The 23,041-nt window shown below is 42.3% G+C and overlaps 2 long non-coding RNA genes across 3 annotated transcripts in view, besides 1 other annotated feature; one reads left to right on the forward strand and one right to left on the reverse strand.

Annotated features, from left to right (window-relative positions):
- Positions 1-23,041, forward strand: part of MIR3681HG (MIR3681 host gene) — a 571,233-nt gene that overhangs the window by 88,045 nt on the left and 460,147 nt on the right. Inside the window, exon 3 of one of the 2 annotated variants that reach the window (NR_110197.1) lies at positions 11,658-11,791. The exons of the other annotated variant lie outside the window; for it this stretch is intronic. This is a non-coding gene — a long non-coding RNA (MIR3681 host gene). The remainder of the gene's footprint in view (positions 1-11,657; positions 11,792-23,041) is intronic. 2 annotated transcript variants of the gene reach the window in all.
- Positions 1,201-1,804: an enhancer, noted in NCBI's record as "OCT4-NANOG hESC enhancer chr2:12236487-12237090 (GRCh37/hg19 assembly coordinates)". NCBI's record gives its function as "activates a minimal SCP1, AML or CMV promoter by ChIP-STARR-seq in naive H9 embryonic stem cells {active_cell/tissue: H9 hESC(naive)}" and the evidence as "EXISTENCE:reporter gene assay evidence [ECO:0000049][PMID:30033119]".
- On the reverse strand, positions 9,396-14,546 carry LOC105373433 (uncharacterized). Its single transcript, XR_922808.2, has 4 exons — positions 14,392-14,546; positions 12,934-13,165; positions 10,134-10,424; positions 9,396-9,827 (listed from the first exon to the last, which is right to left on the reverse strand). It is a non-coding gene; the product is annotated as an uncharacterized LOC105373433 (long non-coding RNA).

Genomic DNA, 23,041 nt, shown 5'->3' on the forward strand with positions numbered 1-23,041 from the left:
TTTGAAATTTTTTTCTTTTACATGAAAATTAGATATGTCACAACATTTTTAGAAAAGTGGAAGCTAGCATAATTGAAGTTGAAGGTAAATTAGAATTAGAAAAGAAAAAGTATGAAAAACAAATCCTATAGCAACATAAAAGATACGCACAATTGTTTTAAAAGTAAAAATAAATTCTGAGGCACAGATGCCAATGCTTAAAAAGATTCATACAAAGCTTGAATACTGGATCATTGTGTTCAAAAATTAACATTATGTGAAGAAAGTTTTGACTGAGAACACTTGTCATTTTGGTCAATTTATTTTTGACAAATTTACTCTTTAATTATCATCAGCTTTCAGAAAAACATGTCGATCTTACCACAGAATCAGTCTGGTAATAATCACAAACAGCATAGACAGCTTCCAAGGGGTATTAGGCCAGTATAGACACTGGTTTCTTACAGACCCTGGGAGGCCACAGGCCTATTACCCAGGGAAAGTTCCGTAATCTCTCAGAGCTCTGTTTCTTCTCAGAAAATGGGGGAAATTACACAAGATGACCTATTTTAAAATAATGCATAAATATAAAGCTTTATTGGAACAAATGTACAGGATGATTACAATATGGTATTATTTTTACCATTATTACCGTAATGGTTGAATCCTATTGCAGTCTTACTTTAAAATACAAAATATTTTGACTGGGCGCAGTGGCTCATGCCTGTAATCCCAGCACTTTGGGAGGCTGAGGCAGGTGGATCACGAGGTCAGGAGATCAAGACCATCCTCGCCAACATGGTGAAACCCCATCTCTACTAAAAATATAAAAATTAGCTGGGCATGGTGGTGCATAGTCCCAGCTACTTGGGAGGCTGAGGCAGGAAAATTGCTTGAACCCAGGAGGTGAAGGTTGCAGTGAGCCGAGATTGCACCACGGCACTCCAGCCTGGTGATAGAGTGAGACTCGGTCTCACAAAAAAAAAAAAAAAAAAAAAAAAAATTAAGGCAAGAAGTACATTCTTGTAGCTGCCAATACAAACATGACAGGCATATAGTACTCAACATAATCTCAATAGAATTTCTAAGCTCTCTGTAGTCGAGCATCGCCTCCTAGTTAGCTCTCTGTTCAATGCCACCAGTTCTATAAATGACTACTGTGTACCTAGCACTGCAATGCTTTATTAAAGGGGCCCTTCCACTCATTCTTTGATTCATTCATTGACTCGTCCATTTATTCATTTGCTTAACAAAGTTTGGTGAATGTCCACATCGACCAGGCAGCGAGCTAGGTGCTGTGGATTCTGGGATAAAATGAATAGTTCCCACACTCATGGAGCTCACAATTACCAACCAGGGCGGCAAATGAAGAAATAGAGAGCTGGGATGCAATGCAGCAATCGGGGTGGGGACAGCCAGCCCAGAGCCCCATAGCTGAGACAGCAGCAGCATTTAACCCAGCTGTGAGGATCAGTGAAGATTCTTGAAGGAGAAGAGAACTAGATATCTGAATAATAAAGACATGTTAGCTTGGGAGAGAAGGAGGGGCGAGGACAGGAACGAGTGCATTTTCTAATTAGTAACATGCAAAGTATCTTCTGCTAGTTTAGTCTCATTGTTAGTTAAATTACCTCTAAGGCAAAAGTATTTTGTTCAGTGTTTGCAAGGTGATGGGTGGCACTGGAGACATAGAAAACAGCTCTTCCGTTAATCAATTCTCTTGCGTGCTGCCCAGTTAATAATTTGCGTTCATTCTCAAAGCAGCTCATAAATATATTACCACTTCAGGCACACTACTCCACAATGCATAAATGAAAAATGATCTGAACTTCCTTCCTCACTGTGAATATTTTAAATCACAACATTAATATACTCATTTCTCTTTCATAAGCTCCAAAATGAGCATTGAAAATAATAGGTTTTGCCTTATTGATTTCAGAGAAACTACAGAAGTGTAGAAACATAGAGATTTTAAAACACACGCACAACTAAATAAAATGAATTTTTGCCTCTTGTGAAATGCTGTATTTTAATCTGAAATTGCATATGTAATGACGTTGTATTTGCTTGTATTAGAAAGATAAATGCATACATCTGCCCAACTGTAGTCAGGTTGAAATTGGATCTCGAAGTGTGCACAGTGTCATTGATGAGAAAAGCAGCACAAAAGAGCTACAGCCATTTTGGAAAGAACATTGGAATTAGAGACAAAGGTATTAAAGCTTTCAAGGTTTTGAAAATAAAAGAGAAAGGGAGAGAATGGAAGCGAATATTTATTGAGCACTTACTATGTACCTGAAGCTTCATGGGAGGTGCTGTTACTGACATTTTACAGATGAGAGAGCCAAGCCTCAAAAATGAGAAAGAACTTGCCCTGGGTCACACATTTTATAATTGCCAGGGCTGGAATTCAGTCTCCAATGTGTCAGACACTAGAGCTTAGGCAGTTTTTGTTATCCCATTTCATCATGTTTAAAAGAAGATGGAGTTGGGTAGAGACATATTTTGAAGAGGAGGGGAGAACAGGCATTTATACCAAAGAGCCGCAATCATTTCTGCTAACTAGGAGGCGAGTGCTGTTGAGAGTGAGAGGAGGGAGAGTGGGGAGGCAGAAATCACTGTTCCTCTGGGCATCGGGTGCAAGAAGATGATGAGCCTCTGATGTTATTAGCATATTCATTTTGCTGAAGAAAAATAAAAGGAAAAAGCCATTTCTTTTAGAACATGAGTTTTGATTTGGGTTTGACAAATGTGTTCACCATAGGACAGCTTTCTCTGTTAGAAAGTCATCGACAGACGGGTTAGTCATCCAGCCCCTTCCTCCCAGCAGTGCTTTGTGTGTGCATGTATGTGCGTGAGCGGGAATGTGCGTGTATATATGCTTCTGCATACATGAGACAGCATATCTTTTTTCAAACAGCGCCACCTCAACAGTGCTTGAAAACTTAACCAGTAACTCCTTTCTTTGCATAAGTTCTGCCCCTTTGTCACCTTTGAAGCCTGCGGATCAGTTCAATGTTCTATTTCCTTTTAACCAACTGAATCCTTACAAAGCAGTTTAATCATTACTCTTTTCTAATAGTGGATAATGACTGCATGAATTTATCTCTCAAGGAGAATTATATTTTACTTGCAAACCTCTAGAGGCCCTAATACAAAGACAGGAACTTCTAAGCTAGGAGAAGGAAAAACTGTGCTCATGAAAATAAACGGGGCCTGTCCTGGAAGCCCTCGAATTCCACCATGGAGGTGGAAATGAACACAAGCCAGAAGAGAATGCACGGCCAAGGCTCCCCAGCATGGCCCCAGATCTCCCCAATATCTCTTCAAACTCCAGGATTTCCACTGTGAAGATACATTCTCTTGGACCAGAGTATTCAAACATTCTTCATGACAGTACATCTTGGAGAAATGACATTTTAAGCCACTAACCCTGAAAATGCTATCATTTGGACAGGGAGGAAGGAAGCAAGAAGGCCAAACTGCTCACTTTCTCTGATTTTGCCATGAGCCAGCCTGGCTCAGAATACTGTTGATACTGAGCCTGATCAATGTAATGCTGCCTTACTACTGTCTAAATAAATATACAGAGAGATAGTAGAGTGTGTGGATATTGTGTGTGTGTTTATTAATGTATACATATTAGTGTGTAACTCTGCTTTATTACTATATATATTAGTGTGTGTATATATTTATTAGTGTGTATATATATCTTATTGTGTGTACATATGTATAGATGTGTGTATATTAGTGTGTATATACATATTAGTGTGTAACTCAGCCTTATTACTATATATACTATATACATACACTAGTATACATACATACTAATATACACATACTATATATAGTATGTATAAAGTATATATAGTATATATTATAGTGTGTGTATATTAGTGTATATATAATTGTGTGTGTATATATACATGTGTATATGTACGTATATATATTGTGCCTTATTACTATATGTATGTGTGTTATATATTAGTGTGCATATATATTAGTGTATATATATTGTGTGTACATATATGTGTATATATGTATGTGTGTATGTTAGTGTGTGTATATAAATGTGTAACTCTGCCTTATTACTATATATATTAGAGTGTATATATTATTGTGTGTACATATATGTGTATATATGTGTATATGTGTGTGTGTGTGTGTATGTATATGTATATACATATATAGTAAGCAATACATTCAACTTCCATTTCCAATGGAGGGGGCTCATCATTCTTGGGTGCTACCCTCTTGGTTTCTTTGTGCTTATAGAGATAGTTTCTAAAGCCTGTCTTTAAAGATAGTGTGGTATGGTATGCAGAGCATGGCATTTGGTTCAATAAAGGGTTCTGCCACTTCCTGCAGCCTGATTTACATCCCCACTGTTGCTGCCCCGTGGCCAAGGTCAAGCCTTCGTCACTGCTTTCCTGAACTTCTACCTGGTCTGCTTGCCTCTGGGTACCTACTCTCTGATTTAGTCATTCCTTGTTGCTCAACAACTTATCTGGCCCACATGTCTTGTCACCTTAGTGCCCTACTTAAAATCTTTTTGGCAATGCTTTTTCACCTGAAAAATAAAACATGAATCCAGCACACAGCCCTCTGTGATCTGGTCCAGGCTTCCGTCTCCAAGCAGCCCTCCCACCTCACTGCTGCAGCATAGCAGGCCCTGAGTAGGTCACGATGCTCTACACCCCTGCACTATATTTGCTAGTTGTGCTTAGCATTCAGCTTCTCTGTTTTCCTTTGGGAGAGTGAGAACTTCCTAAACTTTCTAATACCCTCCTTCTGGCTTCCTGTTACCATTTTGATGAGCTCATTTTGGTTTTATGCTGTGCCTTGCACAGACCTCCACGGTGGTCATTTTTGTCCCTCGCTATACGGCAATGATCTATTTACTTGAGTGCCTCTCTGCACAGATTATGAGCTCCCAGGTGGCAAGGACTTGAATGTGTGCCCTCCAGATGCAAGAACTGGGCACAGGACCTGGAGCAGGACAGTCATGCAGACTGTGTCTATTAAATGAACGATATTACCTAGGCTTTCTTACTCTAAAACCTCAAATTTGTAAAGTAGAAACGATAGTAATAGTCATCTCATGGGGTTGCTGTGAGGATAGAATAGAAACGTATGAGGAAAAGAACTTTTCCAACTATGATGATCGTCACACATCCTAGTTATTATTATGATGCTAACCTAAGTCGTGGGAACCAAACTTTATCTAATGGGATTAAAGACTCCACAGATTCCACTCAAAGCCAGAAATTGGACTTGTTCTAAGGATTCCTGTAATATACAATGCTTAGTGTAATTATTGGAATCTCTACCTGCTGATTAGGCCCACACTGCTTTTTAGTTATGTTAGCTTCAGGGGGAAAAAAAAAGCTACATTAAGAAATAAAAGCCTCCTAACAGCTTGTTATGGCATTATTTGTTCACAACTACTAGCAAATGTATTTTGCCGAATGCTTCAAATCCAGTTTTTACAGAGTAAGCCGAAGCTAGTAATCATTTCATAAATATTAATGGAGAATATGCAAGTGGAAAGTTAAATTAAAATGCTACCAAATGGCTAGCAGGCAGCAGAAAATGAGCAGGAATCTCTAATCAGTGGAATTCATGGTTGTATAACTTTTATCCTCCCATTAGAGTGCAAAACAGAAGTTGATTTTTCTCCCACTTAAAATCAGTTCATGTTGAAGGGATAATGCAAATCAGCTCAATAGCTGAAGGATTCCAGAAACAGCATTTCTATATGGCAAGTCAGGTTTCCTTGGTCTCAGTTGAATGCAAATGACTGGACACAGAGAGAGACTTTATGACCTTGGTCTTCTCATTGGGTTGCTTGGCAGGACTTCACAAGGGTTTGGGGAAAGGAGAGAACAAATGGTATCTCACATTCACTCACCATCAGTTTATCATTTTTCTCTTCCAGAGTATGTTTGTACCTGCAACCAGCATGTTGAAAATACGATTGATTTTAGAGATTTTAAATTGGGAGAGAGGAAGAGTATGGAGTTCTTATTAGTTGAGCCCAGTGTTGCTGGAACAGCTAACTTTAGATTATTTTTATTATTAGCATTAGATGTCTTTATCCCTTATTGTATCCATCCATCCATCCCTACATCCCCCATCCATCCAACAAGTGGTTCACTGAGTATGTACCTATGATGATCCAGGCTCTATGCTGGGCATTGGGAATAAATAGTTGTTTAAGACGTGGTCACATTGGTTCTTCTCTCACAGATTTCACATCTAATATAGTAACCCCATCATAGCTGTGTTATGAGATTGAAGGAGTTAATAGATGTAAGACAGTTAGAAAGATTCTTTTTCCTTTTTTTTTTTTAGAGACAGTGTCTCACTCTGTCACCCAGGCTGGTACGCAGTGGGATGATCATAGCCCGTTTCTGCCTCAAACTCTGGGGCCCAAGTGATCCTCCCACCTCAGCCTCCCAAGTATCTGGGACTACAGGTTTCCACCACCACGCTGGGCTAACTTTTTATTATTAGTTTTTTGTAGACATGGGGCCTCACTGTGAGGCCCAGGCTGGTCTTGAACTCCTGGCTTCAAGTGACCCTCCTGCCTTGGCCTCCTAAAGTGTTGGGATTAAGGTCTGAGCACTTTGTAAGCTCTGAGTGATGGTGGGGGCAGAGCAATGGTAGGGGATGAAGATGGACAAATTGCAAAGACTCAAACACTGATGGGCTTCATATGCCAGGCATGGTTTTCTCATGAGAAAAGAGGAGTGGCTGAAGAGTGGAAAGCTGGAGGGTGAGGTGTCATTCACGTGTTCTCTAATGACTCTTGTGCCTTGTGCCTGTTTATAAGGATGGGTTTGAGATGACAGAGGCTGGAGGGCTCTACCCCACGGAAGACTGTTGAGTTAGACAAGATCATAGAAGACAGTGGGCTGCACCAGGGGACTAGTATGAAGGACTGAGGATGGTGGGAAATCTGTGAGATTTTTAGGAAGGGGAACTGGGCTTCTTGGTAATTTTTAGGAATACAGGCAATGGGGGAAAACATGGAGCCTCAGTTGCTGCCTAGGTTTCTAGAATGAGTGACTGGTAGAGAGTTGAGCTTTAAGTGAGAAAACTGAAAGTAAAAGAGAGGCACATTTTGGTGGAAAGACTTTACGTTCCCAGCCCTCATAAGAGCTGGGTCATTAAATGAGGAATGCAATCACTGGATTCAGACTCTGGCAAACCAGCAGGATAACTCTTGGATAAGACAGGAACCTTCCTGGATTTCCATTTCCAAACTCATAAAATGGTCGCAACACCATCCTAATCCAAAGGGTTGTTGAGAAAGTAAACAAGGATGAAGCATATGGGAGCCCAGGGCTTGGCACGAGAGGACTTCGTATGTGCTGGTGAGTCTGAATCTGAAGAATCATAAAGATTTCCCAGTGCCTGGTTTGTTCAGTTTGGGAAACTCATGTGAAAGGAGAAGAGTTGTTCATATCCTTCCTCATGCATGCACTCACTTGTTCATTTATTCATTCATTCATCCACTTGGTAAGAATTTATTGAAGGCTTTCTGTGTCAGGTGGCCTGACAGTGAAGATTCACTTTGGTCAGACAAGGATTCCTTTGGGTGCTTTTTGGATGCTGTGTCCAACCCCTTGTCAAAATTACTTGGATCATATCTGTAATCTTGCTCCAGAGAAAGGGTGCAACTGAGATGTCCCTCAGAATCCTGCAGGCCGTACATGACCCTTCCCTTCCTGTGGCCGTGATGACACAGCACACTGTGTGGTGACTGGTGAGCTAGCATTTCTTCTCATGTTGAATAAAATTCATGGGTAGACAAATTATAATTAATGGTAATAAAAGTAATGCTAAAATTGACTGAGTATTTTCTAATGAATTGCACTTCACATCAATGATCTCAATTAATTTCATAAGGTAAGTTTATTTTTTCCCCAGCTTTATTAAGGTATAATTGACCAGTCAGAATGGTATATATTGTTCAGTGCGATGTTTTAATACATAGATACCCTGTGGACTGATTAAACCAAGCTGATTAACATATCCATCACCTCACATACTTCTCACTGTGTGTGTGTGTGTGTGTGTGTGTGTGTGTGCATAAGAACATTTAAGATCTACTCTCTTAGGAGGTACGTCTAGTTTTTCTTAGTTTATAGTTGAGGAAACTGAGGCTAAAATAGGTTAACTATTTTGGTTAAAACCGTACAGGAGCTGTGACGGGAACCCAAGTCTGTGTGAGTGCAACTTCTATTATATTATCTGACAGTGTATTGTAATTCAGTAAAATACTAAGTTAGCAGGTTGTCCGTGTTTCCATGTGTTTAGAAGGAAACTGTATCTTGATCTCCTTGGTTGGCGTCCGTTTCCTTCTCTGTATCTGCATTCTGTCCATGCATCTTTCCCAGGGTACTTCACTCTGTTCTCTTGTTCAATTGGCTTAATTCTCTGTATCCCTCCTTAGAATAGGAGCTTATGGAAGGCAGGGGCCACATTGTACAGTGTCGTATGTCTCAGTGACACTGCTAATGATGTGCCAAATGTACGTATGTATATATGAACTGCAGACTATAAACTTTTCTAGCAACACAGCAAAATCTTTCTGCTTTTGGTACAACTAAGAACTTTTATATATGACTATATTTTAATTGATATCAAGTTACCTATTCAGGTTTCAAAAATCTCAAAAGCTGTCTCGTCTGAAAAGGCTTCTGATGCATGATTATGAATTCCTTTATGCTTCTACATCGGGGCCTGTACTGCTCCACTATTTACTTTAAACAATTGTAATTCTGTATCCACCTCTTTCCACATGTCTTGAGTCCAGAGCCCTTTAAATTGTATTTGTGTCATTTTATTTTCTTGCTTAGCACCCTTGGCCAAATATATTGGACTCTGTTACAGCTTCTCCATCACTTTCTAGAAATGGAATGATAAGAACTCTACCGGGTCATGGTGTCCAGTGGCCAAAACTTGATTCTCAAGCACCTGATACATTTAAGCCTGTAAAGTCGAGAGAGAAACCATCTAGAGTGTTGTCTGGAAAGTCAGACAAGGTCAGTAAGCAGAGAAACAAACCATTTCTAGCCAGCCTGCCAAGGCCAGGAGTTTGAAGCGTAGTCCTTGTGTTCTGAACAAGAGAGCGGGAGAGGATAGAGAATCCAGGGCTTCGAACAGAGGAGGCTCGTGTGGATGCCCCAGCTCCTGACCCTGACAACAGTAATTTTAGGCACACCATGTAACCTCTCTGCTCTGTGCATTTGTTTCAATTTGCTTGCCATTTCTTTTTTTTTTTTTTTTAAACATGGCTTGATATTTTTTCTTAAAATTTTTTTTGAAACAATTTCAATGTTACAGAAAAGTTTCAGATAAAATACAAAACAATTTTTCTCTAAAACGTTGTCAAATAATTTGCCAATATTTGAAAGAGCCAAATAATGATGCCCAATGCTATTGGAATATTTTACTGTGTTTTCTACAAACCAAGGCATTCTCTTATAAAAATACAATCTAGCCATCAAAAAAATTAGCATTAATGAATTGGTATCATCTAAACTTCAGACACCATTCAAGTTTTGCCAATTTTTCCCAATGTATGATTTATTGCAAATGGATTCAGTTCGGAAATACCTGTTGTGTCTAGCTCTGTCTTCTTCAACTGGGAACAGTTCTGAAGTCGTTCCTTCACCTCCCACACTTTGAGACTTGGAAGTTCGCAGGAGAGAGATTTGATTGAAGGTCCTTCAGCTGGGTTTGTCTGATCTTTTCTCATGATTGGATTCATGTTATGCAGTCTTCGGCAGGCCCAATGACTACCTAGTTTGCAGGGCTTGTTGCAAATGTGGGGAATCCTTGTTCAAAAACGAGGGAAAAATGTGCTGGTAAAGGCACTGGAATATAAAGCTTTTTGTTTTTTTCCACTGTCTCTGTCTGTCATGGTGTTTATTATTTGTTATTTAACATCACATTCCCTCTGACTCCTGGATACTTGTGGTGTGAGAGGAGATACTACAGTCTCCTAGAGGTACCACCGTGCAACTTAGGGCACTGCCATGCCTATCTCCAGCTACCAGCCACACCTCTTGCCTTCCCACCAGCCCGGCATCCCGTTCCACAGTGTACAGATGAGCCCCCAAGGGTGATTCTGCACTGGGTACCTGAATCAGGGATGGGCGAGAGGCTTCGTGTCCACTGAATTGTCGCCAAATGCCCCATAGCATTGCCCGGGTTTGAGCGCATAGTAGGCATTCAATAAATACTGGCTTTCTTCCATAGAGCACGTAGAGCTGGAAGGTATCTAAGATCTTCACAAGCCCAAACTTCCCCCTGTAGAAAGTGGGAGTTGAGGCCCAAGGAGGTGAAATGAGTTGCAGATCTGGAGCTCCCGACTCCAGGTCGGTAATGCTGAGTTCTATTCTCTGCCTTTCTCAGGTGCTGGTTCTCTGGTGCTGGGAGTGAAAATAAAAATGGTGTACCACAGGCCATAGATGAGACACTTGAGCCTCCTACATAGACATTCCTGCAACACAACTATTCATCACTTGTTCAGCTAACACCCCTGCTGTGTTAGGACACGGAGCATCCAAACACGTGAGCGTGTGTCCTGCTCACAATCTATCAGTGAGAGAGAAAGGAACTCATAATGACTTCGGCTAGGCATTTATGATTTTACTTTTAGTTTTTCTGGCAGTCACGGAAGTGTTTCTATATTTATTATCATTACAACTCTACAGGGCAGGTTTTGCTAACCGGTTTTACAGTGGGAAACCTATAGCTTTAGAGATTTAGGCAAGGTACACGTAGAAAATGTCAGAGCTGGTGGGGTGGAGGGTGGAAGTCTGCCTGGTTCTGCCTCGAGGGCTTGTACCGGCTACATCCCGGCTTCCTCCCTGGAAGAGCCAGCAAGACTGGGATAGAAAAATGTTGTCTCCGGCTCGGCGCGGTAGCTCATGCCTGTAATCCCAGCGCTTTGGGAGGCCGAGGTGGGTGAATCACTTGAGATCAGGAGTTTGAGACTAGCCTGACCAACATGGCAAAACCCCATCTCTTCTAAAAATATAAAAATTAGCCAGGTGTGTTGGCGCATGCCTGTAATCCCAGCTACTCGGGAGGCTGAGGCAGGAGAATGGCTTGAGCTCAGGAGGCCGAGGTTGCAGTGAGCCAAGATTGCGCCATTGCACTCCAGCCTGGGCCACAAGAGCAAAACTCCATCTCAAAAAATAAAAAAGAAAGAAAAGAAAAATGTTGTCTCCGATGACTTGTTCCCAGGGAGGCAGCCCAGGAGGTCTGACTAAACTTGCTTCCCTCGGGCTTCCCCAGCACCCCAAGGGGCCGTCCTTCCTACCCCCAGCCCTGTGAGTCATCTTCATTGAGTTCCAAGAATCCCCGCGCAGCTGTGCAGCTGTACATTGCATGCTGACACTGAATGAGCAGTGACTGGACGCTGCCTTCCATGTGGGACACGAGCCTTCAATGCCTGATAAAGCCTGAAAGCCACAATCTGCCCTGGAAACCCAGCTCCACCCTGCTTCCACTACATCAGGAGGTGGTAGGTTCAAAACTGCATTCAGGGCTGATGAATGAAATACGTTATTAAAGATAATTCTTCCGAAAGCAGAGGTAATAATCCCAGCATTAACATTTCTAATTTAATTCAACCCTGATTAAACTTTTTCTTTCAGAAGGAGGAAATTGAAAGTGTGAAACACCAGTGGGAGGAAAAGGTTCCTGTAACAAATGTGGTTATCAATGGGAAAGAAGCTTTCTAGAGCTTATATACGGGGCCGAGTCATGCACACTTCATCATACTCACCAGGTGGGACTTGGAGAACAACCTATGTCTTATATAGTCAGCTGAACTCCAGCGTTCTTTCCAGAGAGGAATTTTAAGAGGTTAATTTTGATTTTAGTTATCATGTAACATTTCCCTTGGCCCTCCATGCTATGCTTGTCTTTGCTGGGAACCTCGCTGTTTCCTCTGTCCTTTGAAATCATAATTGTTTGGTTACCTCGTCTTCTTCCTCACTAGTCAGAGCCCCTCAAAGGCAGCGATAATGATGTAAGTACCTTTATATCCTCTAACTGAGAATAGTGCCTGGCATGGAGAAAAAACCCAATACATGTTTGACCAACCAATGACCGATGGGGCTGATCAACTTAAAAAGCTTTTGTGTTTTCATTTACCAACATCCCTATATGCTCCAAAACAACTTATTCATTTCTTGGTGTGAGAGCAAAATGCTTTAGCAAAGTACTTTGAGGGGAAGTGGAAATGGAGGTTAAGAAAAAAAGACCAACCCACTGGGAATAATAAAATGCAAACTTATATCTCCTGGATTTCAGAATGAAAGGTGGAGTTTCAGATCCCATTTCCCATATGAAATTCTTCGCTTGCTTTTTCTAATAGTCAGGCTAAAAAGGAACTTTTCACAAAGGAGGTATTTTTCTTCTTGGCCTGGAAAATCGATTCCAATGTTAATCTCGCTCCTTGGAATGTCCTCCCCCACCCTTTTCCACCTAGCAAAATACTCGTCTTTCACAGCCCAGCTCAGATGTCAGCTCTTCAAATAATAATAATCATTGCTAATATCTGTCATGCATTAACTCTAGGATAGGGGCTGTGCTAAGTGTTTTATAGAAATTATTTTACTTGCTGTTCACAAATCCCCATCAAATCAGGACTATGATTTATCATAAACTTACAGATGAGGAAGCTGAGGCCTGTAAGGTGGTGTAATTGCCCAAACTCGAGCTTGGATTTGAATGTGGGAACCTTAACTTCAGTTGTGCTTTAACCATGAGGACACTGCTCCCTCTGAAGCCTTCTGCAACTTTCTCTAGCCCTGCCCTTTGTGGAGATCCAGCACTGGCCCTGGCCGACACGTAATCCACACACTCTCAGGGGACCACCACAGCCTCTTTTCCCCCTGGCTCCAAGCTCAGCACTAGTGAACATACCTTAAGCACCAATGCCAGGTCGATCTTCTTTGCATGCTGAACTCCCCAGCCTTGAGGTTGCTGCCCTTATAGTTTCCTTTGCTCCATTCTCTGCTGGGCCTCTGCCCATCTGACATCGTACACATTCTGGTATTTACTTTTCTCAGCCTGGCTCTGCATCAAGAAAGCAGCCTCCTGTCTCGTGTTCTCTTCCTAACATAGCATCAAGGGTGGAACACACACATACTCAGCACTGCATTAAGAGCAGAGATGGGTGGACTTTACTTTTCCTCAATTCTTTGGAAGTCATATTCCAACACAGTATTTTCATGCATTCTGTCAAAACACTGATGTAGAACTGCAGGGAGTTAGAGCTCATGGTAGCATTCAAGGGTAATTCTTCTGCCCAACCCTAACTTTTCTGACAAATAATTGCTTATTAGTCCAGATAAGGGTTGAGGGTTCATTTTCCTTTTCTTAAACCACATTTTCTTCGTAAGAGACTCTTCTTCTAGATGGTCTCACAATAGATATATTTGAGATTCTCAGGAATAAATGCATCAGCACATTAATCGTATTTGACCAAAATGCTCCTCAGGACACCATCATGAGACATAGACAGGCAAAGCAAGAGAAAAGTCACCCTGGGCTCTGTTTTGCTGTCTCCATTGAAGACAAATATTAAGCATCCCTGAAATTCATGTCAAATTTTACCATATTGAGAAATAAATGGATAAAAGGGTACTCTTTTCAATAAATATAACCGTATAACTTGCACAATCACACGTACTTGAATTTTCCCATCTCAAATGCATTATATAAGCCGATCTTTTTTTCCTGTACATACTCATGCCACAGAAGACAACACAGAAGAACCATAAGACAGTGACAATGGTTAAGAAAACTGATACTTGGCCAGGTGCGGTGGGTCACATCTGTAATCCCAGCACTTTGAGAGGCCGAGGCCGGTGGATCACCTGAGATCAGGAGTTCAAGACCAGCCTGGCCAACATGGTGAAACCCCGTGTCTACTAATAACTCACAAAAAGTTAGCTGGACATGGTGACACATGCCTGTAGTCCCAGCTACTCAGGAGGCTGAGGCAGGAGAATCGCTTGAACCCGGGGAGCGGAGGTTGCAGTGAACCGAGATCGCACCATTGCTCTCCAGCCTGGGCAAAAAAGAGCGAAACTTCCGTCTCAAAAAAAAAAAAAAAAGAAAAAGAAAACTGATACTCACTTACCAGCTGTGTGTCTTTGAGCAATACTTAAACTTCCCATTTAAGTCTCAGAGTTTTTATTGGAAAAGTGGAATTAGTAATAATAATATCTATTTTATTGGGTGCTTGTAAAGATTGAATGATTTAACGTGCTCAGTATCTTATTATCACTACTAATACATGTTAGCCATTATTATGACTTAGTAGAGTTAGCACTGGATTGGGAGAAAGAAGACCTAAGTCTTATCTCTGCTACTCACCAGCCAGGTGGTCTTAAATCAATCAAGCTGGACCTAAAAGCTCTCCACAATCTGGGGCCTGCTGGCGGGTCCGGTTTCATGCTGAGCTCTTGTCTACAGCACACTTGGTTTTCCAGCAACTCAAGCTGTTTCTAGTTTATCACTCTTGCCCCTGGTCCACGTCTACCCTCCTCTGGGGCCCCAGCCATGCTCACACCAGTGTGGGCTTGTTTGCATGCATCAACTTCATGCTTTGCATGTCTGTGTCCAAATTCCACCTTTGTATAAGGACACCAGTCCCATAGATGGGATGAGGACCCACCCTAATGACCTTGCTTTTGCTTGTTTACCTCTGTAAAGACTCTGTTTCCAAATATGGTCACATTCTGATGTGCTGAGCTTTAGGACCTCAGCATATGGATTTTGCTAGGGGTTGGGGTGGGTGGGGATGGACACAATTCAACTCATGACATTTGGGGACTACACAGACTTGGGGTTTGTAGCCTTTGTCTGGGATAGTGTTGGTGTTTTTATTATTTATACTGTTCCCCACCCCACCAGTGAGATTTCATTCCTCATGAATTTACAGAGAGGCACATGGCTTACATTTCCTGAATTCTAACTCTCTTTTTTGCTGCTGCAAAGCTGTTATTCTCTTTGGTTTCTCCTTTCATCAACCTGGCTGCCAACCAATGTCTAAAAAAAAAAAAACATCCCCACACTGCAAGCTGAGTTCCTGCCTCGGGTCGATGTGGGTTTATTGATATTCCAGCATGGTTTGCTTCACGATTTATGCTCTGCAGTTTGTGAACCACAGACCCAAGAGGAAAAGAGATAGTGAAAGAGGGGATTTTTCGATCACTTTATATGCAGTAAGTGAATCTCAATTTCCTGCCATGTTATTTCAGAGTCCTTAAATATCCTTTTCTCTGCCTGGACATTAGAAACTACAAAAGCTCTACATTCTTTAGGATGAAATATGAGTTCTGTAAGATCTATAATCAGAGCGACCTCTTAACAGTGCCATGGTACCTGGGAGCATATACATCCCTGTGACGTGGAGTGAAGGGAGGATGCCTGTTCTGGGATCTGAAATGATATGAACATCTGCAGGTCTATGAGAGATCTCATTATCCCTGTATCTCAAGGGCAGGAACCATACTATCACCTGCTTCCTCACTTCCCTTAGTGTATGTGCAAACTGAAAAACAGTGAAAGAATTGAACACGGTCAATGAGAATGCTGCTATCTGTTTAGAGCAGGACTCTTAAAACAGTGCAAACCATGGCAGGGGTAATGAACTCCGTACGCATGTTTAGAATAGGAAAAAGCACACAGTGTCAGAGCCAGAGGAAGCCTTAGGAATTATTTGATATGAGAGAAAACGAAGGCCCACCACACTGTTTTTAAGTGCATGCTGGTTTCATAGTAAAAAAAAAAAAAAAAAAAAGCAAAAACAAACAAACCACAAAAAACACAAAGCAAAACCAAAAAACAGGCTATTATTGGTAATGAATAAAATAGTGTTTAACATTCTATTTCTGGTAAAGCATAGAAATCATTTTAGGTGGTTTGCACAAACAGGGAGAGCAACAGAGAGGAAAAGGGAAAAGGAGGGTAGAGGATGACACTAGAGTCTCTGGGCCCACTAAATACAGCCCATTTGCTACATGAGCCTCTCAAGGGGTTGATTTAAATATTGAGAACACATGAGAAGGAAAATGTGACGTTGCCAAAGGGTTCTGCTCTGGGAGCTACAGGTAGTTCATTTCTAAGCCTTGAGGTTTGTACAGAAATACTTATGTGATGCATAGCTCTTTAGAGATTTTTCTGGCTCTCACACAGTCCTATGAGGTGGGTGATGGGGGAGGATCAGGGAGGCTGATTTATTCCTGTTGTAAAGAGCACAGGTTTGGAGTCTGAGGTTCAGGTTCAGCTGGCTTTGTGGCTTTCCACTGGTAAACCCCAGGCAGGTTATGAAGGAGTCCCAGGCACGACTGGAACTCAGGGCTCTTCGGCACCAGGGTAGGGCTGTGTTTCCCTTGCCTTCTCCTTTTCCTCCTGACTGGGCCACGGGTTTTCTTAGGTCAGCTCTGTCCTGTGAATTCCTTGATGTTGGGAGCTCCGTCTTATTTTTCTCTGGTTTTGCCTGGTGACGTGCTAAGTAGGTTAACAGAGAAATTGTACAACCTGAAGAACATCCTCCAAATTATTAATTTTTAATCTGCCTCATTTAGGATGCTCTTATATTTGTAACCAGAAATCAAAGACCATGTTCTTCAGCTGATTACTCATCATCACTCAGCTGACTTCTTCCAAGGGCAATTCCTTCTCTGTTTTCTTCCTTTCACAGTGATTTATTATATACCTGTAAGTGCTGTGCACCCGTGATGGTGGCCCAGGCTATGAGTTCCAATCTAGTCTGCAGTATTCCACCTAAATTCACCTGATCAAACCATGCCACATCCCGAAATAAAACTCCTCAGTAGCTTCTCCACTGGGAAAGTTAAAGCCCAAGCTTCATGACAAAACAAAGTCAACAGGCCATTGACACCAGGACTGCTAGGGGAGCTGAAGTGGGGAAAAAGTTGGAGATGGGGCAAGGGCAGGTCGTGGAGACCCGGGTGTGCCAGGCTAAGCAAGGATATGGTCTTGAGAGCAAACGAGTCTGTAAAGAAAGGAGTTGGCCTAATAATCTTGAAATACTCCATATGCTGCACACTATGGGATTTGATCCATGTTAAAAGCTTAACATCATTATACTCAGGACAACTGCCATGGGTCGAGTTGTTACTACAGTCCCACTTTCTGCAAACTTCAATTCAGTTGTTCCATTGCAGCATTGTGATGGGTGCTGGAAAACACCAAAGGGATACGTGACATGATTCCAGTCTTCTAGCAACATACAATCATGGCAATTATAAGGTCTGCCATTATTGCTTTAAATATTGATTTATTTGAAATGTATTTATTGCATACTGTATGGCTTTGGGTTGTAATCATATTATCATTGATGCTGAAGTCAGACAATAGGGATTCAAATCCTAAGTATGACACTTACTGTGTGACTTTAAGCAAGTCACTGATGCCCTGTTTTCGCATTTGTAAAGTGGGGATGGTAAATATCCCCCAAGAGGCAATGCCTGTAAAGAGCACAGGAGAGTTCTGGGCCCTTGACAAGCACTCAGAAATTGCTTTCTTGCATTATTCTGTTATGATGTATGGTGTTGGAGGTGACAGAATGTCAGGCAGACATGGTTGACATCATCAAAGGACAGCAAGTAATGAATGAATGACTATACAGAACAATTCCTATTGAAATTGGCGCTGCAAAAGAATTGGCAATGTTCTAGACATCGCTCTAGAGAACAATGAGGCAGATTCTACTTCAGTAAGAATGGGGTGGCATGGGGGAAGCCCTTTCAGGAAAGGTGATATTTAATCTCCCATTTGACCGATGAGAAGAGTTGGCCACTGGAAATGCCAGGGAGAGAGATTCCCAGCTGAGGGACCAGCAAGCAACAAGCCTTTGAGGCAGGAGGAAGCTTGGCATGTTCTAGGAACCAGCAGAGGCTAAATGTGCCTGGGGCTTCGTGAGCAGAAGGCCAAGGTAGCAGGAGATGAAGCTGGGAAGGACGCAGGGACAGATCGTGCTGGGCCTTGTGGGCCCCAGTCAGGAGTTTGGATGTTATTTCAAGTGGGAGAGTCAAAGAAGCAAAGTGACATGATGTGATTTGCATGGCTTTGCTTAATGTGTGCAAATGGTCAAGCTGATGTCTTCCAGGCCCTCTGAATGAAGTAGTGGGTGTGCAGTTTTCAAAAGGAGAAGGCAAAACTGCAAGCCCTGGCAGTCAATGGGGATATACTTATTGGGAATGAAAATTTCTTCATTTGTGGAAATATTACAAAGAAATAAGAACCTGCCCTTGGGAGCACCTGGCAAACATTCTCACTTCTGAAGGGCAGACACACAGCCATGGTTGGCTGCTTTTGGCAGGGCATAAATTAATTCTAAGTGCATGCACAGGGAGAATCTAGTTTGCTATTTAGTATGCCAGGCCCTGAGCTGGGCTAAGGACACAAAGATAAACCAGACACAGAGAGTGCCCTGCACTTAAGGAGCTCACTCCTCTGCTGTAGGAGACTGACTTATGGCAGATCATTAGCATGTGGCAGGAAAGGTGGCCGCATGGAGGGGAGTAGCTGAAAGATAATATGTTGGCACAGAGAAGGGAGAAGCCTGTTCTCTGGGGAACACAGGAAAGGCATGACAAAGAGGTAATGAAGGAAGGTCACCTCCTCTGGGCATCTCTCACCTCCATTTATCTGGGCAAATGGCTTTGCCCTCTGTTCCATTTCCTCAGAGTCTAGTTTTCTTCCCAGGTGAGAAAGTGCTAATTTGAGACACTGACCCATGTTGTGAAGGAAAATGGGCTCTGAGAATATCATGTCTTCTCCCTCCCAAATGGAAAATTTCAGTCTGAATTGGGGCTACTTATAGGGGAAGTTCTTAGCTGAAAGATGAAAAAATTTTACTATTGAGAATTTTTTATGTATAGTCAAAAAATAGTCATGAAAGGTAAGATGAAAAGATGTTATCAGACATAAATGCTTCTTACAAATGTTGCTTTTACATTCACATAGCATAATTTATCAGGAATACATTTATTAATCTCATGTATCATTTGCATACCATTAATTAGCCAACATTTATTGAGTGCTTGTTATAGATTAGGCATTGTGCTGATTGTGGGGGTTCCAACACAAATCAGACATCATCTCCACCCTTGAGGACCTCACAGTTCTAGGGTTAATCAGATAAATAAACATGTCGTGTTGAAGAGGAAGTCAGCACATTCTGTATGTCCCTTAAAACTAAGACCAACAAATCCAGATTGCCAGCAGATGGATTTCAACTCAGCATTAAGAACAATCGTCCAACAGTTGAGCTGGTCAAGAGTCGAGAGAATGTTGCTACCTCCATACAGGCTCCCTTCTCCCAAGATGGGAAGCATAAGGCAAATGTCAGCTCCTGGTAGAGCTGGACCTTGTGGAGGAGCCTCTAGGAGGAAACCATCAGCAGCACATGAAGGGAAGCCCAGTGGCCACTGGCCTTGCAGTCCTGTGATTCTCAGATTTGATGACATCTATTCTGAATAGCTGCTGTGCTGGAGAAATTTCACCTGCAAACCCAGCCAAGCCAAGACCAAGCCTTGGTATAGGCAAGAAGAAGACTCCTTGACATTCAGAAGATGAGGTTGGGTGACCCTTAAATGAAAGATGGGCAGGTACTTACAGCCCTGGGACGCTTTGGGGCTTGCTGGACACCTTTGCCCCATGAAGATCTTCATGCATGGGTGAGATACACCCATAAATTTGGGGAATCCTTTAAGGATCTGATGAAACATGAACCCAGCTAGAAGCCACATGGCTCATACATATCATTCATATATGTATGAGAGTACAATGAATGCAGAATAGAGACATGCCTAGGGAGGTCTTGGCAGAAAGCCCTACTGTAGCTTCTGAATATGCCTTGGGGATCAAGCTCAGGACTTTGCTATCAATCAGAAGGTTTCCCATGATTAGCTTCTACTTCTCTACCCTGTTTTGCACTTTCCCTCTGCTCCCACCCACCCTTTATGCTCTGCCCATAAGGAAGTGCTGCCTGTGTCCTACCTCCACCCAATCCACTAAGAAGGAGCTCCTTCAGGGCAGGGAGCAAGTTCATGCATCTTTGCCACTCTCACAGTACCTGGAATAGCAATGGACAGAATGAGCATCAAAAAATGTTTACATTTTTTGCAAAGACAGGTCTCATCTTGTCTTTTAGCTATGGGTAGGGTTGTGGATGGGAAATGCATTTTTTGAGGTGGTTCATTTCACTATTTTACCACTGAGGATCACACTGTCTGTTGAAATCAGAGATGACCTACATTTCCTCTTAATGGACTGGGGGCTGTGTAGTAGCACTGGGCCTTTCCTCTAATGGGGAGAGTAACCACTGCTATTTACTGCAGTCGTGGTGCCATGAACCCAAGTACCTAAGCCATTCCCATAACGGCTGTGTTGCTCACAAGCTCCTTGGGAAAAGGGTTCCCAGGATGGAAATCCTTAGGAGTTCAGAGGTGCCTGGAATTCAGGGAAGATCCTTCCCTGGACTGAATGGAGCAACAGTTTTCTGGGGTTCTTTTGCTGGAAGTAAATGCTGAAATCACTTTTTTTTTTTTTTTTTTTTTTTGAGACAGAATCTCGCTCTGTCGCCCAGGCTGGAGTGCAGTGGTGCGATCTCGGCTCACTGCAAGCTCCGCCTCCCGGGTTGATGCCATTCTCCTGCCTCAGCCTCCTGAGTAGCTGGGACTACAGGCGTCTGCCACCACGCCCGGCTAATTTTTTGGATTTTTAGTAGAGACTGGGTTTCACCGTGTTAGCCAGGATGGTCTCGATCTCCTGACCTCGTGATCCGCCCACCTTGGCCTCCCAAAGTGCTGGGATTACAGGCATGAGCCACTGCACCAGGCCTGAAATCACATTTTAATGGATGCAATGGCCACACGTATGAACTGATTAAGATTTTGCTCTCTCAAAACAACACCAAGGAAGCCATTGCTTTACAAAGTCTCGTGTTGAATGAATCCAGTGGATGTTTCAAGAGGGCTTTAGAGACCCCATTACCTGATGGCAAACTTCAGCCACAAGTTGGTTTAGGACCCAACTCTGCCACTTAGTAGTTGTGTGGTTTGGGACAATGCCTGTGCTTTGTGAACTGCAAAGTGGCCTCACCCCCAGCTTCTGCATCAGGTGGTGGTGAGGCCTCCAGGAGGTGCTATGCAAAGTGCCCAGACCTGGAGGTGGTCACGGATGGGCACAGGTGCTGTGCTGTCTCCCTCCTCCACCCCCTCCCCCCTCACTTCACCACACAGGTCTAAAAGAGAGTTTCATTGAAACTCTGGGTTAAGAAAGGGATTCTTACGTATTGAAGGTTTAACGAGGATTCTTTGTGATAATGTAAGTCCTTTTTCAGCATGTGAGAAGTCATTTCAATATTAATAGCAGTTCACTTTTGCGTGTGTGTTTCACAGTTTACAAGGTGCTTTCCTAATTCTCAATTAATTTACTCTTCAGGGTAATTCGCTGAGAAACAGATGGAAGAAGGTGGGGCCGGGGGAGGCACGTGGGGACTAAGGGACTCTCTTACATGTTGCAGGGAGCTGGCACTCAGCCTTAGGAAGGTCTCTGCCATCAGACAGTGTTTTGGAATCGGGGCATCTCTAGTTCAAGACCTTAGCCCACTTTTGCTTATTTGTGTGTTCCTTAGAATTCAAATCCTCCCAATCACCTTTCCTCATTTGTAAAATTGCTGTATTATGAGGATTTAAAAAGTATGTCAATTCATTTCTTTAGTTCCAGAGAAATTTAAGTTGTTGATTAACCAAATAATGCATATAAAGCATCCAGTACCTAGGAGCACTCAATAAATGAGAGCTGGTTTTACTTTTTGCTTTATTGAGCCCCTAGAAGTTTCAGACACTCTGCTTTATATCTGAGCTCTGCTCAGTAAATGGTTACCTCCCCATTTTCCAAAAAAAAAAAAAAAAAAAAGAGGCTGAGACTTAATCAACATCACCAGCTAGTGATAGCTGTGATTGCAATCAAGTAAAGTACTTTTCCTCCATAGTCAAAAGTTTTTCATTGATAAAAATGTAATTTAGAATTGGAAAAAGGTTTTTGAGACTATCAAATCTAACTCAATAGGGAAACTGAGGTCCAGGAAAGGGAATGGCTTGTGCAAGGTCACAGGTGCGTTAACATATGCCAGAGGCTAGAATCATATGACTCCTTCCCCAGTTCTCATCAAAGATACGTGATTCTGTTCTGCTGGGGTGCTTTTGGTTACATGCTTTTCTTCTAGGTTCTGGGTCATTGAAGGCCTTAACCAAACAAGGAAAGTCACGTTTGTTAGCTATGTAAGCGGTGTCTTCCATGGATATGGCTATCCTATATCCATAGCAATGAGATATTTATAGCATTTAAAAAGTATATCTCAAAGGTGCTGCAGATCACATCTGAGGCAGGAAAAGCAAAAGCTCCAATACATATTGAAGGTTTTCACAAGGTATGTCATCATCTCATTGCAATTTTAATCAATGTCAAAAGTAAAAGTGTCAGAAAAATTCTATCCTCTAAAACATTTCAATGGTAGATTAGTAAATGGTAGGTAGAGGCCAAGGTCCCAGCTGGCCTTTCCTCATTAGGGGATGGTTCATGTGAGTTTTTGGGATGGGCACAGGATACAGTTGAGTGATCCAGGGCATCTATCCAGACAGAGGGGCAGGAGGAGCACAGCTTTATACATTGCTGCTTGGATTTGCTTTGTGTGAACAAAAGCTAAGGGGAGTGTGAACTTAAATCAAATGCTAGGATTGCTGAGGAGGAACCTACTAAAGTCAAATGTTTTAGGTTTCTTTTTTTTTGAGGTGGAATCTCACCCTGTCGCCTAGGCTAGAGAGGAGTAGTGCCATCTCGGCTCACTGCAACCTCTGCCTCTTGGGTTCACGCAATTCTCCTGCTTTAGCCTCTCGAGTAGCTGGGACTACAGTCACGTGTGCCATCATGCCTGGCTAATTTTTGTCTATTTTTTTTAGCAGAGAGAAGGTTTCACCATGTTGGC

Source organism: Homo sapiens, chromosome 2, assembly GCF_000001405.40.
Source record: "Homo sapiens chromosome 2, GRCh38.p14 Primary Assembly".
NCBI classification, from domain to species: Eukaryota; Metazoa; Chordata; class Mammalia; order Primates; family Hominidae; genus Homo; species Homo sapiens.